Source organism: Homo sapiens, chromosome 13 (genome assembly GCF_000001405.40).
Source record: "Homo sapiens chromosome 13, GRCh38.p14 Primary Assembly".
In the NCBI taxonomy this organism is placed as follows: domain Eukaryota; kingdom Metazoa; phylum Chordata; class Mammalia; order Primates; family Hominidae; genus Homo; species Homo sapiens.
This window is the reverse complement of record NC_000013.11, coordinates 19,227,790-19,250,482: the sequence shown is the minus strand read 5'-3', so window position 1 is coordinate 19,250,482 and position 22,693 is coordinate 19,227,790. Positions and strand designations below refer to the sequence as shown.

The 22,693-nt window shown below is 40.4% G+C and overlaps 1 long non-coding RNA gene across 4 annotated transcripts in view; it reads left to right on the top strand.

The window, feature by feature from the left end:
- The first annotated feature begins 6,667 nt into the window (after positions 1 to 6,667).
- Positions 6,668 to 22,693, top strand: part of LOC124900335 (uncharacterized) — a 42,489-nt gene continuing 26,463 nt past the window's right edge. The window contains exon 1 of one of the 4 annotated variants that reach the window (XR_007063709.1): positions 6,668 to 10,950. This is a non-coding gene — a long non-coding RNA (uncharacterized LOC124900335). The remainder of the gene's footprint in view (positions 10,951 to 22,693) is intronic. The other 3 variants (XR_007063708.1, XR_007063707.1, XR_007063706.1) reach the window with 3 other exon arrangements.

The window sequence follows — 22,693 nt, the reverse complement described above, 5'->3', positions numbered from 1 at the left end:
TTGTCTGTTCATGTCCTTAGCTCACTATTTGATGGGATTGTTTGGTTTTATCTTGCTAATTTCTTTGAGTTAATTTCTGGATATTAGTCCTGTGTCAGATGGGTAGATTGTGAAGATTTTCTCCCACTCTGTGGGTTGTCTCTTTACTCTGCTGACTGTTCCTTTTGCTGGGCAAATACTCTTTAGTTTATTTAAGTCCTAGCTATTTATCTTTGTTTTTATTGCATTTGATTTTGGGTTCTTGGTCACAAAATCCTTGCCTAAACCAATGTCTACAAAGGGTTTTCTGATGTTATCTTCTAGAATTTTTACAGTTTCAGGTCTTAGAGTTAAGTTCTTGATCCATCTTGAGTTGATTTTTGTATAAGGTGAGAGATGGGGATCCAGGTTCACTATCCTACATGTGACTTGCCAATTATCCCAGCACCATTTGTTGAATACGGTATCCTTTCCCCACTTTATGTTTTTGTTTGCTTTGTCAAAGATCAGTTGGTGGTAAGTATTTTGCTTTATTTCTGGGTTCTCTATTTGTTCAATTGTTCTATGTGCCTGTTTTTATACGAATACCATGCTGTTTTGGTGATGACTATGGCCTTGTAGTATAGTTTGAAATCAGGTAATGTGATGCCTCCCAATTTGTTCTTTTTGCTTAGTCTTGCTTTGACTGTGCAGGCTTTTTTTTTTTTTTTTTCCTATACAAACTTTAAGATTGTTTTTTCTGGTTCTCTGAAAAATGATGGTGGTATTTTGAAGGGAATTACATCGAATTTATAGATGGCTTTTGGCAGTATGGTCATTTTCACAATATTGATTCTACCCATCCATGCACATGGGATGTGTTTCCATTTGTTTGTGTCATCTATGATTTATTTCAGCAGTGTTTTGTAGTTTTCCTTGTAGAGGTCTTTCATCCCTTGGTTAGGTATATTTCTAAGTATTGGTTTTTTTGCAGCTATTGTAAAAGGGGTTAAGTTCTTTATTTGATTCTGAGCTTGGTCACTGTTGGTGTATAGTAGAGCTACTGGTTTGTGTACATTGATTTTATATTGTGAAGCTTCGCTGAATTTGCCATGTCTAAGGTCTACCATATGGACCTTGCCTTCACATGTCTGAGGTTGACCAGATGGCTATTGCCTTGCCATGTCTAAGGCAACCAGATGGCCCTTGCCTTCCTATGTCTAAGGTCAACCAGATGACGTTGCCTTATTCTGAGTAAGGTCGATCAGATGGCTCTCGCCTTTCTAAGTCTAAGGTTAACCAGATGGCTCTCCCCTTGCCATGTCTAAGGTGGACCAGATGGCTCTCACCTTGCCATGTCTAAGGTTGACAAGATGGCTGTTGCATTCCCATGTCTAAGATCGATGAGATGGCTCTCGCCTTCCCATGTCTATGGTGGACCAGATGGCTGTCACCTTCCCATATCTAAGGTCAACCAGATGGCTCTTGCCTTGCTGTGTCTAAGGTCAACCAGATGGCTGTCACATTCCCATGTCTAAGGTCGACCAGATGGCTCTCATCTTCCTATGTCTAAGGTTGACCAGATGACTCTCGCCTTGCTATGTCTAAGGTCAACCAGATCATCCTTGCCATGCCATGTCTAGGTCGACCAGATGGCTCTTGCCTTGCCATGTCTAAGGTCAACCAGATGGTTCTCACCTTCCCATGTTGAATGTTAACCAGATGGCTCTTACCTTGCCATGTCTAAGGTCGACAAGATAGCTCTCATTTTGCCATGTCTAAGGTCGACCAGAAGGCTCTCACCTTGCCATGTCTAAGGTCAACCAGATGGCTCTTGTCTTCCCATGTCTAGGGTTGATCAGATGGCACTTGCCTTGTCATGATGATATGATCGTATACCTAGAAAACCCTTCAGACTCCTCCAAAAATCGCCTAGAGCTGATAAACGAACTCAGCAAACTTTGTACTGATTTGTGTACATTGATTTTGTATCCTGAAACTTTGCTGAATTCATTTATCAGTTCTAGGAGCTTTTTGGAGGAGTCTTCAGGGTTTTCTAGGTATACAATTATATCTTTGGCAAGCAATGACACTTTGACTTCCTCTTTACTGATATGGATGCTCTTTGTTTCTTTCTTTTATCTGATTGTTCTGGATAGGACTTCCAGTACTATGCTGAATAGAAGAGGTAAGAGTGGGCACCCATGTTTTGTTCCAGTTCTCAGAGGGAATGCTTTCAGCTATTCCCCATTCAGTATAATTTTGGATGTGGCTTTGTCATAGATCGCTTTTATTACATTGAGGTATGACCCTTGGATGCCAATTTTGCTGAGGGTTTAAATCATAAAGGTATGCTGGATTTTGTCCAATGCTTTTTCTGCATCTATTGAGATGATCGTGTGATTTTTGTTTTTAATTATCTTTATGTGGTGTATCACATTTATTGATTTGTGTATGTTAAACCATCCCTGCATCCCTGGTATGAAACCCACTTGATCATGATAGATTATCTTTTTGATATATTGTTGGACATGGTTAGCTAGTATTTTGTTAAGGACTTTTGCATCTATGTTCATCAGGGATAATGGTCTGTAGTTTTCTTTTTTTGTTATGTTCTTTCTTGGTTTGGGTGTTAGCGTGATACTGGCTTCATAGAATGATTTAGGGAGGATTCCCTCTTTCTCTGTCTTGTGGAATAGTGTCAATAGGATTGGTACCAATTCTTTGAATGTCTGGTAGAATTCAACTGTAAATCTATCTGGTCCTGGACATTTTTGTTGGTAATTTTTTTATTACTATTTTAATATTGCTGCTTGTTATTGGCCTGTTCAGGTTATCTATTTCTTTCTTATTTAAGCCAGGAGGGTTTTGTCTATCCAGGAATATATCCATCTTCTTTACTTTCTGGTTTATGTGCATAAAGGTGTTCATAGTAGCCTTGAATGATCTTTTGTATTTCTGTGGTGTTGTTTGTAATATCTCTCATTTCTTTTCTAATTGAGCTTATTTGGAATTTCTCTCTTCTTTTCTTTATTAATCTTGCTAATGGTCTATGAATTTTGTTTATCTTTTCAAACAATCAGCTTTCTGTTTCATTTATCTTTCTGATTTTTGTTTGTTTGTTTGTTTCAATTTCATTTAGTTCTGCTCTGATCTTGGTTATTTCCTTTCTTCTACTGGGTTTGACTTCGATTTGTTCTTATTTCTCTAGTTCCTTGAGGTGTGATGTTCGATGGTATATTTGTGCTTTTTCAGACTTTCTGATGTAGGCATTTAGGCTATAAACTTTCCTCTTAGCACCTCCTTTGCTATATCCCAGAGGTATTGATAGGTTGTGTCATTATTATCTTTTAGTTTGAAGAATTTTTAAATTTCCTTCTTGATTTCAGTGTTGACCCAGTGATCATTCAGGAGCAGATTATTTAATTTCCCTGTAATTGCATGGTTTGAAGGTTCCTTTTGGAGTTGATTTCCAATTGTATTCCACTGTGGTCTGAGAGAGTACTTGATATAGTTTTAGTTTTCTTAAATTTATTGAGACTTATTTTGTGGCCTATCATATAGTCTATCTTGGAGAAAGTTCCATGCACTGATGAAAAGAATGTATATTCTGCACTTGTTGGATAGAATGTTCTGTAAATATCTGTTAAGTGCATTTGTTCCAGGGTATGGTTATATCCATTGTTTCTTCATCAACTTTCTGTCTTGATGACCTGTCTAGTGCTGTCAGTGGAGTATTGGAGTCCCTTATATTTATTGTGTTGCTGTCTATCTCATTTCTTAGGTCTAGCAGTAATTGTTTTATAACTTTGGGAGTTCCAGTGTTAGGTGCATATATATTTAGGATTGTGATATTTTTCTGTTGCACAAGGCTCTTTATCATTATATAATGTTCTTCATCTTTTTTAACTGCTGTTTCTTTAAAGTTTTTTCTGTCTGATGTAAGAATAGCTACTGCTGGTTACTTTTGGTGTCCATTTGCATGGAATGTTTTTTTTTCACCCCTTTACCTTAAGTTACATGAGTCCTTATGTGTTAGGTGAGTTTCTTGAAGGCAGCAAATAGTTGGTTGGTGAATTCTTATCCATTCTACAATTCTATATCTTTTAAGCAGAGCATTTAGACCATTAACATTCAATGTTAATATTGAGATGTGAGGTACTATTCCATTCATCATGCTATTTGTTGCCTGTATACTATGTTTTTTTTTTCATTGTGTTATTGTTTTATAGGTCCTATGAGACATGGAAAAGTGAGAGCCCTCTAGTTGACCTTACATAGAACAAAGTGAGAGCCATCTGGTTGACCTTAGACATAGGCACACAAAAGCCATCTGGTCAACCTTAGACATGGCAAGGTGAGAGCCATCTGGTCGACCTTAGGCATGGCAAGGTGAGAGCCATCTGGTCAATTTTAGGCATGGCAAGGCAAGAGCCATCTGGTCAACCTCAGCCATGACAAGGCAAGAGCCAGCTGGTCAACCTTAGGCATGGCAAGGCGAGAGCCATCTGGTCGACCTTAGACATGGCAAGGCGAGAGCCATCTAGTCGACCTTGTTCTGGGAGATTTATGCTTTAAAGAGTTTCTGTTTTTATGTGTTTCCAGGATTTGTTTCAAAATTTAGAGTTCCTTTTACAGTTCTTGTAGTGCTGGGTTGGTAGTGGTGAATTTTCTCAGCATTTGTTTGTCTGAAAAAGACTACATCTTCCCTTCATTTATGAAGCTGCAAGGCGAGAGCCATCTGATCCAACTTAGACACGGCAAGGTAATAGCCATCTGGTCCACCTTAGACATGGGAAGGTGAGAGCCATCTGGTCCACCTTATACAAAATTCTTGGCTGATAATTGTTTTGTTTAAGGAAGCTGAAGATAGGGCCCCAATCACTGCTAGCTTGTAGAGTTTCTGGTGAGAAATCTGTTAATCTGATAGATTTTTCTTTATAGGTTACCTGGTGCTTTTGCCTCACAGCTCTTAGGATTATTTCCTTCATCTTGACTTTAGATAACCTGATGACAGTGTGCCTAGGTGATGATCTTTTTATGATGTATTTCCCAGATGTCCTTTTAGCTTATTTTATTTGAATATCTAGGTCTCTAGCAAGGCTGGGGAAGTGTTCCCTGATTATTTCCCAAAATATGTTTTCCAAACTTGTAGATTTCTCTTCTTCCTCAGGAACACCAATCATTCTTAGGTTTGGTCACTTAACATAATCCCAAACTTCTTGGAGGCTTTGTTCATTTTTTCTTATTCTTTTTTCGTGGTCTTTGTTGGATTGGGTTAATTCAATAACTTTGTCTTCGAGCTCTGAAATTCTTTCTTCTGCTTGTTTGATTCTATTGCTGAGAGTTTCCAGAACATTTTGCATTTCTCGAAGTGCATCCTTTATTTCCTGAAGCTGTGATTGTTTTTTATTTATGCTATGTATTTCACTGAAGATATCTCCCCTCATTTCTTGTATCATTTTTTGGATATCCTTAAATTGGACTTCACGTTTCTCTGGTGCCTCCTTTATTAGCTTAATAACTGAACTTCTGAATTCATTTTCAGGTAAAACAGGGATTTCTTCTTGGTTTGGATCCATTGCTGGTGAGCTAATGTGATTTTTTGGAGGTGTTAAAGAACCTTGTTTTGTCATATTACCAGAATTGTTTATCTGTTTCCTTCTCATTTGGGTAGGCTACGTCAGAGGGAAGATCTAGGGCTCAAGGCTGCTGTTCAGATTCTTTTGTCCCACAGGCTATTCCTGTGATGTAGTACTCTCCCTTTTTTCCTAGGGATGTGGCTTCCTGAGAGCCGAGCTGCAGCGATTGTTACCTCTCTTCTGGATCTAGCCACCCAACAGGGCTGCCAGGCTCCAGGCTGGTACTGGGAGGTGTCTGCACAGAGTCCTGTGATGTAGACTGTCTGCAGGTCTCTCAGCCATGGATACCAGTACCTGCTCTGGTGAAGGTGGCATGGGAGTGAAATGGACTCTGTGAGGGTCCTTAGTTTTGGTTGTTTAATGCACTATTTTTGTGCTGGTTGGCCTCTTGCCAGGAGGTGATGCTTTCAAGAGAGCATCTGTGGTAGTATAAGGAGAATAGACAGTGGGTGGGGCCCTAGAACTCCCGAGTACATGTCCTTTGTCTTCAGCTACCAGGGTGGGTAGGGAAGGACCATCAGGTTGGGGCAGGGCTAGGCATGTCTGAGCTCAGACTCTCCTTGGGCAGGTCTTTCTGTAACTGCTCCGGGAGATGAAGGTGTGGTTCCCAGGTCAATGGAGTTGTGTTCCTAGGAGGATTATGGTTGCCTCCGCTGTGTCATGCAGGTTGTCAGGGAAGTTGGGGAAAGCTGTCAGTCACAGGCCTCATCCAGCTCCCACACAACCCAAAAGACCGGTCTCACTCCCACTGTGCACCCCCACCAACAGCTCTGAGTCTGTTTCCAGACAGTAGGTGAGCAAGGCTGAGAACTTGCCCCAGGCTACCAGCATCCCAGGTGCAAAAGCAAGCAGGGTTTTCGTGCTTCCCCACTGTTGAGTGTGCACACAGGATTCATGCCCTCCTCCAAGTTTTGGCCAGGAGACTTCGCCTTCGGTTGGAATTGTTAACAACGTTCAGCTGGAGGTTTCCTTCTTACTGTGGTCTTTCCGCAACTCTGGCAGCTCTCCCCAAGGACCCCTGTGAGACAGGTATGAAATAGCTTCCTGGGGGACCCAGAGAGCCCACAGAGCTTTTTCTGCTGCTTCATCTACCTCTGTGTTTTGCTCAGATCTCTAAATTGACTCAGCCCCAGGTAAGATCAGATCCTTCTCCTATGATCTAGACCTTCAGGTTTCCCAGTGAGGGTATGTGTTCAGGGGCAGATGCTCCCCCTTTTTCACTTTCAAAGCTTGGCACTTACAGTATTTGGGTTGTTTTCCTGGTCCTGCAGGAGCAATCCACTTTTTTCAGAAGGTCTGTGGGTTTTCTTGACTTTCGTGAATTACTCCTGCAGTAGTTCTGGAGCAAAAATTCATGATGCAAGTCTCCACACACTGCTCTCTATCTGAGTGGGAGCTGGAATCTAGTCCTGCTTCCCATCTGCCATTTTTCCCTCAGAGCTTGTTTTTTAAATTTCTTTAAGTTGGTTTTTACCTTTCTCTGGTGCTTCCTTGAGTAGCTTAATAATTAACTTTCTGAATTCTTTATTTGGCAATTCAGAGATTTCTTCTTGGTTTGCATCCATTGCTGGAGAGCTAGTGTGATCTTTTTGGGGTGTTATAGAACCTTGATTTGTCATATTACCAGAATTACTTTTCTGATTTTTTTTTATTTGTGTAGACTGTTTCAGTGAAAAGATCTGGAACTCAAGGGTGGTTGTTCAGATTTTTTTCCCCCACAGGGTGATCCTTTGATGTGGTATTCTCCTCCTTTTTCTAGGGATGGAGCTTCCTGAGAGCCAGACTTCAGTGATTGTTATTGTCCTTCTGGGTCTAGCTACCCAGCAGTGCTACCAGCCTCCATGGTGGTACTGGGGATGTCTGCAGAGTCCTGTGGTGTGATTTGTCTTCGAGTCTCCCACCCGTGGATAACAGCACCTGCTTCAGTGGAGGTGGCAGGGGAGTGAAGCAGACTCTGTGGGAGTCCTTGGTTGTAGTTTTGTTTAGTGCCCTGGCTTTATTGAATGCTGGTTATGCTAGGAGTGAAGCTGATTGGGGACACAGCTCTGGTTAGCTTCTTTGGAGCAGGATTGTTCTCGTATGAGTTGCTGTAATAGCTTGAGTTGGTTGGCCTTCAACTGGCAGGTGGCACTTGGAAGAGAGCACCAGCTGTGGTAGAAGAAAGGGGATATAAGCTTGCCCTAGATTGGCCAGGATAAGTACTCGGGTTTCTTAGGTGATGGGTGGGGCCATAGAGCTCCCAAGAGTTTATGTCATTTGTCTTTGGCTATCGGGGTGGGTAGAGAAAAACCATCAGGTGAGGGCACAGTTAGGTGGGTCTGAGCTCAGACTCTCCTTGGATGGTGCTTGCTGCTGCCACTGTGGCAGATGGGGGTGTGGTTCCCAGGCCAGTGGAGTTATGTTCTTAGGGGGATTATGGCTGCCTCTGCTACATCATAAAGGTTGCCTGGAAGTGGAGGAAAGCTGGCAGTGACAGGCTTCACCCAGCTCCCACGCAGCCAGCAAGGCCATCTCACTCTCGCTGTGCCCCACTCACAGCACTGAGTTTACATCCAGGCAGCCGCAAGCAGGGCTGAAATCTTGCCCCAGGCTACAAGCCTCCCCACTGAGAAAGCAAGCATGGCTCCCAGGCCTCACCTCTCCCCACCTGCCTGCACCTTTGGCTGCAACTTCTATGCTGGTATCTGCACTTCCTGTTTGCTCCCCCACCCCAATTCTGCTCAAGAAAATTTTTGCTCAGTGGAAATTATTGTCAGTTCAATTAGGAGTGTCCTTCACTCTGTGCCCCTCCCGAGTTTTGCTGGCTGCCTTCCCCAAGGATCCCTGTGAGACATGGCCAGGAATGGCTTCCCTGGTCTTAAGCTGGGGACAGGGAGTGCCTACAGGGCTCTCCCTGCTGCTTCTTCTACTTGTATATTTCACTTAGCTACCTAAATCCATTTCAGCTATAGGTAAGGTCAGATCCTTCTTTCATGACCTGCATTTTCAGGTTCCCCAGTGAGGATGTGTGTTCAGAGGCTGACTTTTCCCCTTCTCACACTTTGGGAGCTCACAGGTTTTCAGCCATCTCATGGAGTTTGCAGCAGCAAGATGCTGCTTTCAAAGGGTCTGTGAATTCTTTTCTGAAGTTGTTCTTGGAGCAAAAGTTCACAGTGTGATTTTCTACACACTATTCTGTCCATCCAAGTGGGACCTGCAGGTTGGTCCTGTCTCCAATCCACCCTTTTCCTCTGACTCCCTGAAATTTCCATCTTTTTAGATAGAAATTTCGGGACTAAGATTATCTCCATTTTTTAAAAATGTTTCTCACCCAGGATTTAGATTTAGATTTTTCTTAAAAGATTTGCAGTTTGCTTAAGTGAGTGCATCTTATTTATTTTTAGTCCATTTCTATAAATTTAATAACTACTTTTTCCTATTGTGATTGTAATCTTCTTTTGTGATTTGTTATGGCAAAGTAAGGAAAGCTATTGATATTTTGAATACTTGCTTTATCTGCAGTCATGGTCATGTTAGTCTTTTCGCATGAGTTTAAAAATGCTTCATCTTTTTCTGTATTCTTAAAATTAAAGTAATGTATGATTTCTTTCTTGAACTCTGGTAGAACTCAGGAATAAAATGGATTAAGCTTGATGTTCCTTTTTAGGATACATCTTAAATTTTTAAAAGTAAAAAGAAGAGTGTTTATGATAATTTTAAACTTATTAAATTTGGAAAATGCCAAAACACATCTAATTATTTTCTTATTCATTCTATTTATAAGGCAAAAGAGCAAAATTTTGTGCCACCCAGTGGTCATTTCAGCAAATCCAATGATATTATAAGCATAAAAGACATTTGGGTGATTTTACTTTTGAAAATTTAGGGCCAAATACAGGAAACACAAAGTTAAGAATAATTGTTAGGTGGGGCAGTCATGATATAAGTCATAGTTGCATAAACAAAAAGCAGTTATTATGAGTAATATTTCAAAATAATCAGTAGCAATGATCTTTACTCATTTTAGAAAGTAAAAAACATATTTTTCAAAGCCATTTAAGAGATTATCAGAAGTCAACAGAGTTGCCATACTATTTTGTTGTTAAATGGGGATCTCTTTTATCTGAGCACATAATAGTTTGGTCACAATACAAAAGAAAACCCCAAGTCTACATCTACTCATTTTATATATACTTCATATAATAATTTTTAGTTAAGGTTTTATAAATCAGACTATTAGAAATGAATAAAATCACTAACATTGAGCTTTCCATATTTCTTATTCATCTACACAGAAATTACAAAATTTATTTTAGTAGACAATTATATATGTTCAGACATGTATAAACTCATAAGAACGTAAGTGGATAATGAATTTAAAAGTTGGATTTTAATTTTAAGATATGATTCATCTTACCTGAATTTAAATAAAAATACATTGTTATGTTTAAATTACTCCCTTTAGTAAACCATCTTCTTTTACCATTACCTTTGACTGTTTACATATTAAAGTTTTGTAATTAGTATACAACTATATTCTTAATTATTTATGTTAATTACCACCTTTATTTAAAACAACTAACTCTTGTTTTCTTCAGTCACAGAGAAAACTCGAAAGAAGACAGGAATCCAAGGATTGCCTAGATGATAATTTACAAGTACACACTTTAGATTACCTTATTGATGTTAAGATAACAAAACAAGTATGTATTAAAAATCAGCCAAACCTTTGGACATTCTGCGAATATATAAATCATTTGATAATGCATAAGAATAGGAAAAAATTGAAATGTGTTCATGACTAAAGTTTTATATTTGTGGTAATGTTAAAATGTATTATTAAATATGTTAAAATTATTTCATTTTTTTCCCCTTTGAGAGGTAAAGCCTAATACTTCTCCCCTTGAATATGGGCTAGACTTATGAGCACATTTCTAATGAACAGAGAAAGTGGATGTGGATGTGACAATGTGTATGTTGGAAGACTAGACAATATCAGAGATGAACATGATGGTGAAAGAAAATAAAAGAAGAAAGCTAGTTAATAAAAGGCACCATTGTTTCCTCCTCTTCCTCCTCCTCCACCTCTTTAACTCTCTCTCCCTCTCTCTGATCAACAGCTCTAGCAAAAGCCAGCTGCTATGCGGTGCGGACTTTCAGGCAGCTTTGCAGGGAGATACATGTGGCAAGGAACTGACAGGCCTTCAGCCAAAGGCACATGACTGAGTCATCTTGGAAGTGAACGCTCCACCTGCGAGATGACTGTAGCCCTGGCTGACATCTTGACTGCAACCTGCAAGACTTTAGGAGGCTCCAGAAACCAGCAGTAACCCAGGCCAGTGCAAAACCAAGAACAGCTGCATTCGAATGGGTGAGAAAAGATGTTGCATTTTACCCATGATATAGCCCTTTCCTCAAGTGGGCATAGTTTGGTTTGATCAGGAGAACATGTTCAACTCTTGGCTTCTCCCTCAGGAATAGAAGTTAAGAAGGGAATCTAAGGGTAACATTCTGACTTTTCAGGGGCTACCTGAGGGACTGGATTGTGTGTTGTATGACGTGGAGTGCTGACAGAAAATCCACCTACTTTGAATAACTGGTGGCCATGGAGAACAGAGAGTTCAGTATCTTGTTGCAGTACCAGAGAGCCTGTGTGCAGGCAGACACCAGAAGGAGCAAGAGATTATGAGATTCTGAAAAAGTGGCAAACCTCTGGAACTGGAAAATTACATGCACAAGACCAGAGAAGATGTATCCCCACAAAGGTTAGAGAGGCCCCCAGAATATCTAGCCAGGCCTATTGGTGAAATTCTGCCCCAGTATGAAGCCGGGGAAATGAATCTCCAGAAACTGACCCTAGTGTCCATGGAGGAGGTGAACAAGTGATGTAGTGATGTTTCATTTCTGACAATAGTAATCTGTGTCCTCTCTCTTTTTTTCTAAGTTAGCTTACTGGTTTTTTTGACCTCTTCAAATAACTAGCTTTTGTTTTCTCTCTTGATTTCCTGTTTTGAATTGTAATGTGTCTCTTCTAAATTTAATTATTTCTTTTCTTCTGCTTGCTTTAAATTTTATTTGCTCTTCTTTTCCCTTTTTGTGCTGTGGAAGTTTAGATTATTGGTGTTAAAACTTTCTTCTTTAATATATGCATTCCCTGCTCTACATTTCTCATGAGGTACTGCTTTTTCTACTTCCTACAATTTTTGAAAAGTTGTGTTTTCATTTTCATTAAATTTTCTCTTGAGATTTCTTCTTTCACCCATGTGTTATTAGAAGTGTGCTCCTTAATTCCCAAGTATTTGGGGATTTTCCAGCTACCTTTGTTTTATCAATTTCTAGTTTAATTCTGTTGAGATTTTTGTTTTTGTCTTAGTGATATCATCCTAATATTTTGATTTATCCATAATACATGCATGAGTCTCAAAATATCAATACTACAACATATAATTACTATGAACAGTTTAGACATTTTCTCCAGATTGTTATGTGTTTAAATAAAAGCACAAGGAATAGACCCTCTGTGAGGACTTATGACATCAAGTGGGTATGAGTTTATTTTACTTTCAAGTCATAGCGATTACTCTTTTAGATTTAATTTTGTCTTATGATTATGTGGAATATTTACGTAATTTCAAAATCAATCTGTAAAACAAGTATATTCAAAGTAGTCTAACTTGTAACCTCTATCTCTTGTACTCTATTTCTTTTTCTTAATTTAATTTTTGTGGGTACATAGTAGGTGTATGTATTTATGGACTACAGGAGATGCTTTGATAGAAGCATACAATGCATTGTAATCACATCAGGCTAAATTCATCACCTCAAACATTTATCATTTCTTTGTGTTATAAACGTTCCGATTACACTCTTTTAGTTATTTTTAAATGTACTATAAATCACTGTTGACTGTAGTTACCTGCTGTGCTATAAAGCAGATCTTATTCTATGTAACTACATTTTTATACTCACTAACCGTCCTTACTTCTCCCCAACCCCCTCCCCACTTCCCAGCCTCTGATAACCATCATTCTACTCTCTACCTCCACGAGTACAAGTGTCTTAATTTTTAGCTCTCACAAATGAATGAGAACATGATAAGTCTGTCTTTCTGTGCCTGGCTTATTTCATTTAACATAATGTCCTTCAGTTCCATCTGTATTGTTGCAAATCACAGAATCTGATTCTTCTTATGGCTGAATAGTAGTTCGTTGTGTATGTGCGCCACATTTCAAAAATCCATTCGTCTGTTGATGGGCACCTAGATTGCTTCCACATCTTAGCTATTGTGAATAATGCTGCGATAAACATAAATGTGCACATATCTCTTTGATATACTGATTTCCTTTCTTTGGGGTATATACCTAGCAGTGTGATTGCTGGATCATATGGTAGTTCTAGGCTTAGGGCTTTCTTAGGAACCTCCACACTATTATCCATGGTGATTGTACTCATTTACATTTCCACTAACTATGAGGATTCTGTTTTCTCCACATCCTCACCCCACAGCACAGCCTCCACTGCCCAGCCTGAGCATTTTTACCAAAGGCCTGGGAGCAGTTTGGACCCTTGGATGGTCACTGTTCAACCACAAGGGGCCAAACACAAAACTGCAGGCTTTGTCTCAATGCCCCAGGAGTCAAGCACACTGTGTAGGGGTATTGGGCTGAGGTCTGTGGCCTGAGCTCAAGCACGGGAGGAGCCCCCACTCTCAGAACACTGAGAAGACTATGGTATGAGTTCCTGTGCTGGCATGGCAGCTGGGCATCCCTCCCTTTGCAAGACTGGTCCAGAGGGGTTGTAGCCTGTTAGCCGGATGCAGCTTCTTCCTCAGGGAGCTCAGTGGCCCAGAACACCTGGAACAGCACTGCATTCTGGGCACAGAAGGCTTGAAATGACCGGTGTCTCTTTTAGTTTTCACAGCCATGGAAATAGGTGATGTCTAAACTCCCTTGACTTTACATTGTTTGCAATATGTCAGAGAGAAGTGACCATGATATAAAGAAAGCAAAGATCTGCTCTCCATGGCATTCATTAAGATGGGGATGGGCCCAGCACGGTGGCTCATGCCTGTAATCCCAACACTTTGGGAGGCCAAGACAGGTCGATCACTTGAGGTCAGGAGTTCAAGACCAGCCTGGCCATCATGGTGAAACCCCGTCTCTACTAAAAATACAAAAAATTTGCCAAGTGTGGTGGCGCAAGCCTGTGATCTCAGCTGCTCAGGAGGCTGAGGCACGAGAATTGCTTGAACTTGGGAGGCGGAGCTTGCAGTGAGCCAAGATCATGCCACTGTACTCCAGCCTAGGCGAGAGAGTGAGACTCTGTCTCAAAAAAAAAAAAAAAAAAAAGATGGTGTCTTGAATGAGTAGGCATTTACAATCAAGAGGAAAACACAAATTAGTAAAACTACCAGGCCAGAGATATTAACGAGACTCATTTAAAGGGCCATCATCCCACAGTGGAAAGGCCGTTCACTTCTCCCTTTCAGTCAGGACAGGTACTCTTCTTTTGAACATCTGAGGTGTGTGCAGACAGAGGTGTTTCAGTTTGTGTGGATGGAGAACAGGCTTTCCGTGGAGAGGAAAAAAGCTAGGTCTGAGTCCTTGCAGGCATTGAGAGTGTGGATGGCAGAATGTGGTCCCAGTATGGAAGAACAGCCAGGCCATCGCAGGGCTGCAGTGAGGGCCACTGGGGCCTTTTGGAGGCCAGAAAAATTGTCACAGGTGTTGAAGGCTACTGAGTCTTGAGCAAGTCTATGCGGGCTGTTCACAACTAAATCCAAAAAACAAACAAACAAACAAACAAAACATTCACACATCTGAAGAATGCCTGAATTAAAAACATACTGTAAAAAATATTTTCCCTGTGGTCTCCTTGATAAGCACGAGAAGCATGGGACAAAGGGAAGCTGGCTTGATGAACACTTCTGGACTCCAAAGAAGATGACAGGCAAAAGAATACATAAAATGAGATAAAATTAAATAAATGCATGAACCTCATGTCTAAAGCAGACTGTTGGACACTGCCTACCCAGGTGGATGGATGATCCTAGTGTGAAAACTAGTGCCTACCTTGTGTGGTGGGGTGGCTTCAGCACGATGGATGTGTATTGTGCACATGAAAGCCTTAGACATACAAAGAGCCCTGAGGCCACAGGCCAAACATCTGGCCAAAGGCCTGAAGCTCTGCAAGCTTTCTGGCCGGCCTTTGGGTCCTCTCCTGTAACTGGGTCCTCTCCTGTAACTGAAGTGACAACAAAAGGCCGCTGGAGTTCTTCCCGGCAAGTTCTATGGGACCGTATTCCCCTGGCAAAGAGCAGGCCAGCAATTTCAAACAGACAAAGCCAAAGGACTAACATTCCTTGGTGGGAAAGCTGTCCACCTATCCTGAACCTGTAAGTCAGGAGAGATGGTTTTGATTGGACACCAATGATGGGGCAGACAATGGAGAGGCAGCAAGGCTTGGTCTGAGGATATTTTGGGGACATTGGTCTCAGGATATGTTGGGGACATTGCAAGTGTGGGAGACAGAACCTGATACTGGGAAGGTAGGACAGCCAGGCCATGGAGATGTGCACTGAGGGTTATTGGGGCCTTTTGGAGGGTCAGAAAAATGGGCCCAGATGCTGATGTCTACCCGGTCTTGAGTAAGCCTATTCTGGCCATTTGTAGCCAAATCTACACAAACCTACAGACAGACCTGAAGACCACCTGGATAAAATGTACCTGGGGAGCTAGGTTCCTGGGGACTCTTTTTAAAATATAATCTTTTATCTTTTATTTTCCTTTCAGTGGTCCATGTGCAGGTTGGTTCTACAGATAACTTCTGTGTTGCAGGGGTTTGATGTACAGATTATTTTGTCACCTAGGTAATAAGCATAGAATTTGATAGGTAGGTTTTCAATGCTTATCCTCATCTTACCCTCCAGCCTCAAGTAGGCCCTGGTGTCTATTGTTCCTTTCTTTTTGTCCACGTGTACTCAGTGTTTAGCTCCTACTTAGAAGTGAGAACATGCGACGTTTGGTTTTCTGCTCCTGTGTGTGTTCACTTAGAATAATGGCCTCCATCTCCATCCATGTTGCTGTGAAGAGTATTATCTCATTCTTTATAATGGCTGCAAAGGATTCCATGGTGTATGTGTATCACATTTTCTTTATCCACTCTGTCATTGATGGGCATTTAGATTGATTTTATGTCTTTGCTATTGTGAATAGTGTTGCAAGGAACATACACATACATGTGTCTTTATGGTAGAACAATTTATTTTCTTTTGGGTATATACCCAATAATGAGATTGCTGGGTCAAATGGTAGTTCTAAGTTCTTTGAGAAATCACCAAACTGCTTTTCATTGTGGCTGAACTAACTTACATTCTCACAAGTAGTGTCTAAGCATTCCCTTTTTTTCTTTAGCCTCACCAGAATCTGTTATTTTTTACTTTTCAGTGATAGCCATTCTGACACATGTGAGATGGTATCACATAGTGGTTTTGATTTGCATTTTCCTGATAATTAGTGATGTTGGATATTTTTTCACCCATTTGTTAGCCATTTGTACATGTTCTTTTGACAAATGTCTCTTCAGATCCTTGATTTAATCTTTAATTAGATTATTTGTTTTTTACTGCTGTTTGAGATTCTTGTATATCCTGGATGTTAGTCCCTTGTTGGATGACTCATTCGAAAATACTTATACCTGTTCTTCAGATTGCCTCTTTGCTCTGTTGGTTGTTTTCTTTGTTTGCAGGTTTTTATTCCACTGTAGTCTCAATGGTCTATTTGGGGGTTTTTGCCTGTGCTTTCGAAGTCTTAGCCATAAAATCATTGTCTAGACCAATGTTCTGAAGCATTTATCCTGAGTTTTCTTCTAGTAATTTTATAATGTTGAATGCACCCATTCGGAGTGCATTTTGTATATGGTGAGAGGTAAGGACCCAGTTTCATTATTCTGCCTATGGATATCCAGTTTTCCCAGCACCATTTATTGAAAATGGTGTTCTTTCCCCAGTGTATCTTCTCGGTGCCTTTGTTTAAAATCAGTTGGCTGTAAATACCTGGATTTATTTCTCAGTTTTCAGTTCTGTTTCACTGGTGTATTTCTTTTCATATCAACACTATGTTGTTTTGAGTATATTGCCTCTTAACATATTTCGAAATCAGGTAATGTGATTTCTTCAGCTTCTTTCTTTTTGCTCAGGAGTGGTTTGGCTATTCGGAATCATTTTTAGGTTCCATACAAATTTTAGGATTGTTTTTTGCATTTATGAGAAAAACAACATTATTCTGATAAGGATTGCATTGAATCTGTAGATTGCTTTGGGTTGTATGGTTATTTTAACAGTATGATTTCTTCCAATTCACGACCATGGGATGTCTGTCCATTTGTTTGTATCTTTTCTAATTTCTTTTATTAGTATTGTTTAGTGTTCCCCGTAGAGGTCTTTCTTCTCCTTGGTTAAATTTATTACTAGATATTTGATCTTTTTGTTGCTATTTTAAGTGAGAGTGCTTTCTTGATAGTTGTTCAGCTAGTTCATTATTGGTGTATAGAAACACGATTGATTTTTGTATGCTGATTTGGTATCCTGCAACTTTGCTAATTTGTGTGTCTGTCTGAAGTCTTTTTTGGTAGCATCTTTAGGTTTATTTTTCTGTGAGATGAGGTCATCTATGAAGAGGGACCATTTGACTTCCTTTTTTTCCAATGTGGATGCCCTTTATTTCTTTCTCTTGCCCACTTGCTCTGGCTAGGACTTCTAGTACTGTGTTGCATATGAATGGTGAAAGTGGGTATCCTTGTCTTGTTCCAGTTCTAAGAAGAAAGGCTTTCAGCTTTTCTCTATTCAGTATGATGTAAGCTGTGGCTTTGTCATACGTGACCTTTATTATGTTGAAGATTGTTCCTTGTATGCCTGATTTGTGAGAGTTTTTCTGATGAAAGTATGTTGAATCTTATCAAATGCTTTTCTGCATTTGTGGAGATACTTCTGTGTGTTTTCCCCTTTATTCTGTTAATGAGATTTAGCAGATGTATTGATTTGAATATATTGAGCCATCCTTACATCCCAGGAAGAAGTCTCAACTTATCATGGTGTATTCATTTTTTTGTGTTATTGGATTCAGTTTACTAGTATTTTGTGGAGGGTTTTTGCATCTATATTCACCAGGGATATTGGCCGGTAGTTTTCTTTCTTTCTTTCTTTCTTTCTTTCTTTCTTTCTTTCTTTCTTTCTTTCTTTCTTCTTTCTTTCTTTTTTTTTTTTTTGAGGTGTTCTTGTCTAGCCTTAGTGTCAGGGTAAAACTGACCTTATAGAATAAACTAGGAAGATTTTGGAATCGTTTGAGAAGAATTGGTATTAGTTTTAATGTAAAGAATTAGTAGAATTTGGCAGTAAAGATAATCTGGTTTGGGACTTTTTTGTGAACTTCTTATTACTGGTTCAATCTCATTACCTGTGATTCCTCTGATCAGGTCTTCTAGATTTTCCGTGTCAAATCCTGTAAGTTAATGTGTCCAGGAATTTATCAGTTTCCTCTAGGTTTTCCAATTTGTTGTCATATAGTTTTTCATAAATGTCTCTAATAATCATTTCTATTTCTATGGTATCAGTTGCAAAATCTCCTGTTTTGTTTCTGGTTTTATTTACTTGGGTCTCTTCTCTGTTTTTCTTATTTAGTATAAGTAGCAGTTTACTAGTTTTCTTTATCTTTTGAAAAACAATTCATTTGGTTGATGCTTTGTATTTTTTGTTTGCCTCTATTTCATTCTGTTCTGCTCTTTACTATGTCTTTCCTTCTACAAATTTTGAGTTTGCTTTGTTCTTGCTTTTCTTCTTCTTCTTCTTCTTCTTTTTTTTTTTTTTTTTGAGACAGAGTTTTGCTCTTGTTGCCCAGGCTGGAGTGCAATGGCACGATCTCAGCTCACTGCAACTTCTGCCTCCCGTGTTCAAGCGATTCTCCTGCCTCAGCCTCCCAAGTAGCTGGGATTACAGGCATGTACCACCACGCCTGGCTAATTTTGTATTTTTAGTAGAGACAGGGTTTCTCCATGTTGGTCAGGCTGGTCTCGTACTCCCGACCTCAGCTGATCCACCCATCTCGACCTCCCAAAGTGCTGGGATTACAGGCATGAGGCTTTTCTAGTTTCTTTAGGTGAATCATTAGGTTGTTTATTTGAAGGCTTTTTAGCCTTTTGATATAGGTGTTTGTTGATATAAATTTTCCTCTTAACACTGCTCTTGCTGTATCCCATAGGTTTTGGTATTTTGTGTTTCATTTTTATTTGCTTTCATTGAAGACTTTTTTTATTTTCTTCTTAATTTCTTCATTGACCCAGTATTCATTCATAAGCATGTTTAATTTCCATGTAACTGTACAGTTTATAAAGTTGCTCTTGTTATTGATATCTATAATTCTCTTGTGGTCTGAGAAGATACTGTATATGATTTTGAGGTTTTAAAATTTGTAGAGCCCTTTACTATGGCCTAACATATGGTCTGTCACAGAGATGAGGTTTTACCGTATTGGCCAGGCTGGTCTTGAACTCCTGACCTCAGATGATCCACCCACCTCAGCCTCCCAAGGTGCTGGGATTACAGGTGTGAGCCACTGCACCTGGTTCACTTGTTTATTACATAAATAAAACTTGGAGTGCCTTTGTGTTAGCCACTGTTCTAGGTGCTAGCAGTGTAGTCAAGCAGGTTGTTGGATTTATACCTAGGATTTAGAGCAACTGTCCTGGCTGGATTTATGAACATGATATTTTAAAGTCAAAGGACCAAACCTTGAACCTTGGAGTTCTTTAGTGTGTAGAGATTGGGAAGATCAGAAGGAATCAATAACAACTGAGAAGGGAGCATTCATTCATTGGAATAGGGGGAAGAACCATCAGACTGTGTCCTGGAAGCAAGGGAGGAGAGTATTTCAGGGAGGAAGCATTAGCATTAGCATTGATTGTAATTCATATCTATCTTTTTTTTTTTTTGATGGAGTTTCGCTCTTGTTGCCCAGGATGGAGTGCAGTGGCACCATCTCGGCTCACCACCTCTGCCTCCCAGGTTCAAATGATTCTCCTGCCTCAGCCTCCCAAGTAGCTGGAACTACAGGCACATGCAACCATGCCCAGCTAATGTTTGTATTTTTAGTAGAGACAGGGTTTCACTATGTTGGCCAGGTTGGTCTGGAACTCCTGACCTTGTCACCTGCCTCGGCCTCCCAAAGTCAGGCATGAGCCACCACACTCGGCCTAATTAATATCTATTCTTACTCCCTTTACAATGCTATTTCTAGCTTTTTTTTTTTTTTTTTTAAGACAGGGTCTGGCTCTGTTGCCCAGACTGCAGTGCAATGGCATGGTCATGGCTCACTGCAGCCTCTACCTCCTGGTCTCAAGTGATCCACCTCAGCACCCCCCAAGCAGCTGGGACTACAGATGTGGGCCACCATGCCCGTCTAATTTTTAAATTTTTTTATAAGTTATCATCATGTTGCTCAGTGTGGTCTTGAACTCCTGGGCTCAAGCAATCTGCCCGCATTGGCCTCTCAAAGTGTTGGGTTTACAGGTGTGAGGCACTGCACCTGGCCACAGTGCCATTGTTTGAAGGGTTCCTGTGATTTCCTCTTCACTTAACTTTTTCCTTGTTATAGGTCACCATTACAAATTTGAAATAGAGCATACGTTTGGATTTGGGAGTTAGAGAACTAGAAGTACAAGGTTGTTACAAGAATAGACTTTATAGACAACATTTGTTTATATAGTTAATGATCTCAGCAAACCTTAATAAGAGCTAGTTATGGCTGGGCGCGGTGACTCATGCCTGTAATCCCAGCACTTTGGGAGGCCGAGGTGGGTAGATCACCTGAGGTCAGGAGTTCAAGACCACCCCAGCCAACATGGTGAAACCCCATCTCTACTAAAACTATAAAAATTAGCCAGATGCGGTGGCACACACCTGTAATCCCAGCTACTCAGGAGGCTGAGGCAGCAGAACTGCTTGAACCCGGGAGGTGGAGCCAACACAGCACCACTGCACTCCAGTCTGGGCGACAGAGCAAGACTCTGTCCCCTGCCCCCCACCCCGCCCCCCAAAAAAGAGTTAGTTATATTCCCACTTTTATTACTAAAGATTTATTCCCAGAAGAAAATGCTTACAGGGCCGGGTGCAGTGCCTCACACCTGTAATCCCTGCACTTTGGGAGGCCAAAGTGGGTGGATCACCTGAGATCGGGAGCTGGAGACCAGCCTGGCTAACATGGTGAAACTCCGTCTCTACTGAAAATACAAAAAATTAGCTGGGTGTGGTGGTAGGTGCCTGTAACCCTCCTAGCTACTTGGGAGGCTGAGGCAGGAGAATCGCTTGAACCCGGGAGGCGGAAGTTGCAGTGAATCGAGATCGCGTCATTGCATTCCAGCCTGGGCGACAAGAATGAAACTCTGTCTCAAAAAAAAAAAAAAAAAAAAAAAGAAAAAGAAAAAGAAAAAGAAAAAAGAAAATGTTCACAAAGCATAAGAGCCAAGATTCAAATTCACTTGCAAGTTCAAAAAAGCATGTTATTTCAGTGTTTTTTTCCTGTGGGAGAAAACAAATAATTTAAAAATATAGTCAATCTTTGACTTCGGAACTGCTGACTAATAAACAATTCTTTTAGGAAAATTAGTGGTTGGTAGATTCTCCCACTCTTTCCCACTTACCAGTTGGTGCTTTAAACAGAGAAAAATCCAGGTAGGGTTTTCAGATATAGAGTCCCTAGGATCATGGCTGTCTTTGGTTTTTCTTCACATGCTTCTGAATATCTTTCCCTCTCTTGTTATTACATCTTTCCCTCTGTGACAGCCTTCTTCTCTCCTAGATTTGTCATACCCACCCCTCCTCACCTCCCTACCCCAAAATAAAAGTTAAAATTTACATTTATAGCAAGGTATCTATGCTTTTATTCATGGAGTGGGAATTGTTTTCCCATGAGTACTTTTAAATACAGGCTGTTATAGGTGAGACTAATTGAACATATTTATGCAAAAATTTCTTGAAAGTTGGCTGGGTGTGATGGCTCCCACCTGTAATCCCAGCACTTTGGGAGGCAGAAGCATTGCTTCCAGGAGTTTGAGACCAGCCTGGGCAACATACTGGTACCTCATCTCTACAAAAAATACAAAAATAAGCCAGTCATGGTGGCATGCCCTTGTAGTCTTAGGTGCTCTGCAGCCTCAGGTGGGAGGATTGCTTAAGCCTGGGAGGTTGATTCGGCAGTGAGCCTTTTTTTTTTCTTTTTTTTTTTTTTTGAGACGGTGTCTTACTCTTGTTGCCCAGGCTGGAGTGCAATGGCAGGATCTCGGCTCACTGCAACCTCTGCCTCCCAGGTTCAAGCGATTCTCCTGCCTTAGCCTCCTGAGTAGCTGGGATTACAGGTGCCTGCCACCACTCCCAGCTAGTTTTTGTATTTTTAGTAGAGATGGGGTTTCGCCATGTTGGACAGGCTGGTCTTGAACTCCTGACCTTGTGATCTGCCCACCTCGGCCACCCAAAGTGCTGAGATTACAAGCGTGAGCCACCATGCCTGGTCTTGGCAGTGAGTCTTAACTGTGCCACTACACTCCAGCCTGGGAAACTGAGCAAGACCCTGTCTCGAAAAACCCAAAGCAACAACAACAAAAATTCTTAAAAGTGAAAATAGAAAATTGATTGGGGACCAGGTGTGGTGTCTTGCACCTGTAGTTTTGGCACTTTTGGAGGCTGAAGAATGAAGATTACTTAAGGCCAGGAGTTTGAGATCAGTCATATTTTTTATATGTCTCTAAAATAAATATTTACATATACACGTACATGTATATATGAAAAAAATGAATACTTTCAAATACATTCATACCCTTTTATTTGGTAATTTGTTTACTAATTTATTCATTCAAGAAATATATATTAAATGTATATACTGCACTCTAGGTACTTGAGGTACAGCATTTAACAGCCACATTTGATGTCATCAATTGAGTTTATAGTCTATCAAGGGAAAGAGGTATTAAATAATTAACTACAATGGTAGTAAGTTAGGCCTTGATTTTTGGGGCCTACCCAATTAATTGGCACATAACACTCAATAAAATCTAGCTGGTTTTACTAG